The 6308-nt window shown below is 43.2% G+C and overlaps 1 annotated feature.

The window, feature by feature from the left end:
• Positions 473 to 974: an enhancer, noted in NCBI's record as "H3K4me1 hESC enhancer chr4:153628279-153628780 (GRCh37/hg19 assembly coordinates)". NCBI's record gives its function as "activates a minimal SCP1, AML or CMV promoter by ChIP-STARR-seq in primed H9 embryonic stem cells {active_cell/tissue: H9 hESC(primed)}" and the evidence as "EXISTENCE:reporter gene assay evidence [ECO:0000049][PMID:30033119]".

Below are 6308 nucleotides of genomic sequence, written 5' to 3' on the forward strand. Positions count from 1 at the left end.
GCCACAGGGTAGGAATGTCCAGTGTGTCTTTGGAGAAAGGAAGTTTCAGTCTTCATGTCAGGAGGAATGGAATTGGAGGATGTGAAGGGAGGCCAGAGGCCTGTCTTGACTCATTACCACCCGAATGAAATTTGGTAGCTAATTAGGGATACAGACATCAGAACCAAGATGGTGTTTTATGATTGATTTGGTGGCAATACGCTTTGATGGAACAGTGGAGTGAGTCAGGAGGTAAAGAGAACAGGTAGGAGGCCACTGTATCGATTGAGGTGTGCAAACCTCAGCCAGATAGGAGTTCCAGCGATAGAAAATGTAGGTTAGATGAAGGAACAGGGGAAGAAGACACCCCAGGACTGGGTAGCTGTATGGCAGGGGTGATGGAGAGAGGACAATGATCATGCTGCAATTTTGAGTCTTTCTGAGAGAATGGCAGTTCTGAACCATGAGTTTGGTTTTAGTTAAACTGAAACACTTATGTGAAAATGTCCAGCAGGCCAGCAGAGACATTAATCTGCAGCTTTAAAACCAAAGGGCTCAGCTGGACATGGTGGCTCACGCCTGTAATCCCAGCACTTTGGGATGCCAAGCGGGGTGGATCACCTGAGGTCAGGAGTTTGAGACCAGCCTTGGCAATATGGTGGAACCCCATCTCTACCAAAAATATGAAAGTTGGGCAGGCGTAGTGGCGGGTGCCTGTAATCCCAGCTACTTGGGAGGCTGAGGCAGGAGAATCACTTGAACCTGGGTGCAGAGGTTGCAGTGAGCTGAGATCACGCCATTGCACTCCAGTCTGGGCAACAAGAGCAAAGCTCTGTCTCAAAAAAAAAAAAAAAAAAAAAGCAAAGACCTCCTGGAGACAGACATTTAGGTTACCCACACTGAGTTATTTCATTTTTCCTACAAACAAGCAAGCAAAAACATGAGACTCTCTGGTAGTCTACACTGTGCTACTCACTGGGGCTACAAAAGTGAGAAAGATGGGTTTCCTCCCCTTGGAGTTGTCAGATCCATGGAGGAAACATGCCTCTCCTGCATTAACAGATTCCAGCACTGCAGTGGAAGGGGTTGCCGAGCGAGGTGGGGGAAACCCTTAGGTAGATGAGAGCACTGAGGAGGGAGGGCCCAGAGGGGGTAGATTCTTTCCTTGTAAGTTTACATCTTTCTATTGCTCACAATGTGCCAGGCACTGGTTTGAGCACTGCCAAGTGCAGACTTGTGACCACTGGAGTATACTGTCCCACTCAGTGAGGTCGGCAAGCAGTGGGAGAGAAATTACTCGGAGAAGGAAATAGAGAAAGGCCCCAGGGATAGGAAATCAAGTTACTGAGAAATCCCTGAGGTCAAAAAGGAAGTGATAACAGTGGTCATCGGTGTCAAACGCTAACAAAATGTCAAGAAGGATAAGAATGAATTGGAGATGGTTGATTTGGGAACTTGGTGAAGTCACGGTCATCTTTGGCAGCAATTTCAGTTAAGAAGCATCAGAGAAAGTCACAGAATGAGAGAGTTATGAGGAAGTGGAGAAACATGGAGTGTAGATATCTCTTTTTTTGAGAATTTTGGTAGTAAAAGGAAAAATGAGTGCCAGCAGTTCAAGGTGAGAGAAATTTAGGAATTTTGGGGGGTGGGATTATAAGAGAGTCTGAGGCATGTTAGTAACCAGAGGATGAAGGAAACATTGGAAATGTTCACAGATTGAGGAGAAAATGAAAGGAATAGCTTCCATGGAGAGTGTGTCAACTCTGCTTGGCTGCTCACCTGCTCTTCATACAGCACCACTTAGCCCTGGCTTGTGGTCACTGCCCTTGAGGGGTTGGCACTATAGCCTTCAGAACACTCTGGTTGGACCCTAGTCCTCCTGGAGCCACCAGGCCCTAATCAGTGGTTTCTCCTTTGTGCTGCATTTCCCTGGGAGTGAATTAGTGGTCTAAAGCCCAGTTTTCTCGGTGAATGTCTGTGTTCTGGCTTGTAAACAAACTGTTGACCAGATCTAGAGATTTCAGGAAACTGGTTTTCCTAGTCCTGAACACTAGAATGCTCCAATGACAGCTCCTCCAAGTACTGAGCATTTGTCAACCCAGATTTCTACTGAACCCCAGCTTTGCTTCTGTAGATTTGGCATTTGGTTTGAAAATTTTGCTGATTGTCCTAATTTCAAGAGACTTTACGTGGAAATCACCTTTTAAACCCACAGCTAGCAAACAACTATTTTATTTGCACTAAATAGCTAGCTTTAGGCTCTCTCTGGGTTAGTTTAGTATGCATTGCCTTGGCTTCAGTGTTGACAGCAGGAGAGACTGTGATAAAGAGCAGAGGTAGGTGGGGTGCAGCCCTTCCTTCTGGAAAGTTGAAAGGAGAAGAAAGGGCGGGGCATAGTGGCTAATGCCTGTAATCCCAACACTTTGAGGGGCCGAGGCATGAGGATTGCTCGAGCCCAGGAATTTGAGACCAGCATGGGCAACATGGTGAGACCCTGTCTCTACAAAAAACTGTAATAAATTAGCCAGGCATGGTGGTGTACACCTGTGGTCCCAGCTACTCAAGAGGCTGAAGTGGGAGGATTGCTTGAGCCCAGGAGGTCGAGGCCACAGTGAGCTGTGATTGTGCCCCTGCACTCCAGCCTCAGTGACAGAGGCAAGACCCTGTAAAAAAAAAAAAAAAGCCAGGTATGGTGGCTCACGCCTGTTATCCCAGGACTTTAGGAGGCCAAGGTGGGCAGATCACCTGAGGTCAGGAGTTTGAAACCAGCCTGGCCAACATAGTGAAACCCCATCTCCACTAAAAATACAAAAATTAGCTGGGTGTGATGGTGCACAACTGTAGTCCCAGCTACTCAGGAGGCTGAGGCAAGAAAATGGCTTGAACCTGGGAGGCGGAGGTTGCAGTGAGCCGAGATCGCACCACTGCACTCCAGCCTGGGGAACAGAGCAAGATTCCGTCTCAAAAAAAAAAAAAGAGGAAAGATTAGGAAATTCAAGAAGCAAGTCAACCTAGAGATCCTCATTCCCCAGCCAGTCATCCATCCATCTAAATATTCATTTACTCATCCTCTTAATTTTTCATTTATCTGTTCATCCAGTCAACAAAATTTGTGGATCACTCACAATATGAGCCTCCAGAAATAAGAGACAAAAACACTGAGAAAGCCGCAGGAAAGACTGAAACTAGCCCATCAGTGACTCAGAGGCCTAGACACGCCTAAATTATCTTTTGCTTTCAGCTAAAGAGAAAGGGAAAAACCTGTTTTATTCACATACGTCGATGCTGGGGCTTCGACCAATTAGGATCTCAGTCTTCTCTCTCCTGTCCAGTTCTCCCCCAAGGAGGCATGAGTAAAGCTATCATTTAGCAATTCTGGGCAATAAGGCAAGTGCAGGGTATCAAGTCACTTAAAGACCTTGCCAAATCTAGAGGTGGGGAGGAATGCTACTTGCATAATATTTCTTGCTATTCATTACAGCAACAGGAAAATAAGCATTTTATAACAAATTTAACACCAGGTCCTGCCCCAGCAGGAGCTCCTTTAGGTACCAGAGGTTTTGCAACCTCCCACTGCTTAGCAGTTAGCGACCCAGCAGGGGCCCCCACTCATCACAGTTTCACTCTGGAGATGCTGCCCCTGGCTCCACTTCCTTGCCTGGGATTATCACAAGACCCAGATTCCCACCAGCTTCAACTGCTCCTCCAGGACTAGAGTGGAGCCCAGCCTTGGGCCAGGGAAAGGAAGAGGCAGGGGTATCAATGAAAAGCAGGAAGAATGTTCCACCTCATTCTACCACTGTCAGACACTGAACATGAAACAGACCCACATCTAAGTCACGCTCATTTAAAACTGGATTCTTATTTTTTAAATTTCCAACTAAAAGCAAAAATATTCCTGTAGATCATCTGAAGCAGAAAAAATAATAGGCAAAAAATATATAGAATAAATGAGACATTTAAAAATTAAGAAAACAATCAAAAATATTGTTATACTGAAAATTTGTAAAATACTGAAAAGGACTGAGAAGAAATAAAATCATCCCAAGCCCTTATCACTCAGAAATAAACACTGTTAACATTTAGTCTGTTGCCAGTCTTTTTTCTTTGCCTATATATACATAATGTATTTATAACATTGTTATCTGTGTTATGAATACTCTTTTGTGATCTGTGTAATCTGGGATTACAGGCATGAGCCACCTACAGATCACTTTTGTGATCTGCTTTTTATTTCACTTAATATATTGTGTCCATTTCCCCATGTTTTCAGATGTTCTTTTACAGCATATCTAATGGCCATGTTGTATGCACAGAAAAAATGATAGTAGCTAACACTTAGAAAGTAGCAGACACTTTACATGGAGTAACTCATTCTCACAATAATTTATTGAGTCAGATACTATAAAATTATCCTCATTTTACAAAAGAGGAAACGGAGGCACAGAGATTCCACACAGTTATTAGGCAGAGAGCCAGAATTTGAACCCAGGCAGTCTCAGGGTCCAGGCTCTGAACCACTAACCCACATTGCAATGCAATTTACCTCACCTATTCCTGATTGTTGGGTGTTATTCTGACTCAGGGGCTCTTTTTTGCTGTCATAAACAATGCTGACTTGAACATTCTTTGTTTTTTTTTATCTATTGCCCAGGCTGGAGTGTAGTGGTGTGATCATGGCTCATTGCAGCCTCGACCTCCGGGACTCCAGTGATTCTCCCACCTCAGCCACCCAGGTAACTGGAACTACAGGTACCTGCCACCATGCCTGGCTAATTTTTGTACTTTTGTAGAGAGAGTTTTGCCTTGTTGCCCAGGCTCGTCTCAAACTCCTTGATTCAAGGGATCCACCCGCCTTGGCCTCCCAAACTGCTGGGATTACAGGTGTGAGCCACTGCACCTGGCCTGAACATTCTTAAATACACACTTTTGTACACATGTTAAATTATTTCCTTATGATACTTCCTAGGCCAAATGGAAAACTTACTTTTAAGGCTTTTGATACATATTGCCAAATTTTAGAAACATACCAAATTATGTTCTGCATATATAGCAGTACTACTTCTTAATGAACTTTTACTAATGTTGGTTATATTTTTCTTTGTAATTTATTTGGTGAAAATGTTTCCTTATGATTGTTTCAATATGCATTTTCTTGCTTACTAGTTTTATGGAATTTAAAAATAAAATTATTGGTAATTTGCATTTTTGTCTTATTTATTTATTTATTTAGAGACAGGGTCTCACTCTGTCACCTAGGCTGGAGTGCAGTGGCGCGATCTCGGCTCACTGCAACCTCTGCCTCCTGGGCTCAAGCGATTGTCCCACCTCAGCCTCCCAAATAGCTGGGACCACAGGCACACTGCCACCGGCTAGTGTGTGTGTGTGTGTGTGTGTGTGTGTGTGTGCGCGCACGTGTATTTTTGGTAGAGACAGGCTTTCACCATGTTTCCCAGGCTGGTCTCGAACTCCTGAGCTCAAGTGATACACCTGCCTCAGCCTCCCAAAGTGTGAGCATTTTTGTTTTAAAAATAATTCATTTGCTTACATATTTTTATTTCTTTTATTTTTATTTTTGAGACAAAGTCTCACTCTGTCACCCAGGATGGAGTGCAGTGGTGTGATCTTGGCTCACAGCAACCTCTGCCTCCCAGGTTCAAGCAATTCTCCTGCCTCAATTTCCCAAGTAGCTGGGATTACAGGCATGTGCCACCATGCCCAGCTAATTTTTTTATTTTCAGTAGAGACAGGGTTTCATCATGTTGACCAGGCTGGTCTCGACCTCCTGACCTCTAGTGAGCCACCTGCCTTGGCCTCCCAAAGTGCTGGGATTACAGGCATGAGCCACCGCACCCAGCCCATACTTACATATTTTTCTATTATACTCTTTTATTTGTAAGAGTTCCTTGTATTAAGATTTTAAATCTTTTGTCTGCTATGTATGTGGGAAACATTACTCAAGGTTGTCATTTGATAGACAAATGGAATTACTTAAAACTAAAAAGCTTCTGCACAGCAAATGAAACTATCAACAGAATTAAGAGATAACCTACAGAATGGGAGAAAATATTTGCAAACTATATATATGAGAAGGTGTTAATATTCAGAATACATAAGGAATTCAAACAACTCAATAGCAAAAAAAATCCAATTTTTACAATGGGCAAAAGATCTGAATAGATGTTTCTCAAAAGAAGAAATAAAAATACCTGAGGTATATGAAAAAATCCTTCAACGTCATAAACATCAGGGAAATGCAAATTGAAACCACGAAAAATATCATTTCACTCCAGTTAGAATGGCTATTATTAAAAAGACAAAAAATAAAT

The sequence above is a fragment of the Homo sapiens genome, chromosome 4 (assembly GCF_000001405.40).
Source record: "Homo sapiens chromosome 4, GRCh38.p14 Primary Assembly".
Lineage (NCBI taxonomy): Eukaryota > Metazoa > Chordata > Mammalia > Primates > Hominidae > Homo > Homo sapiens.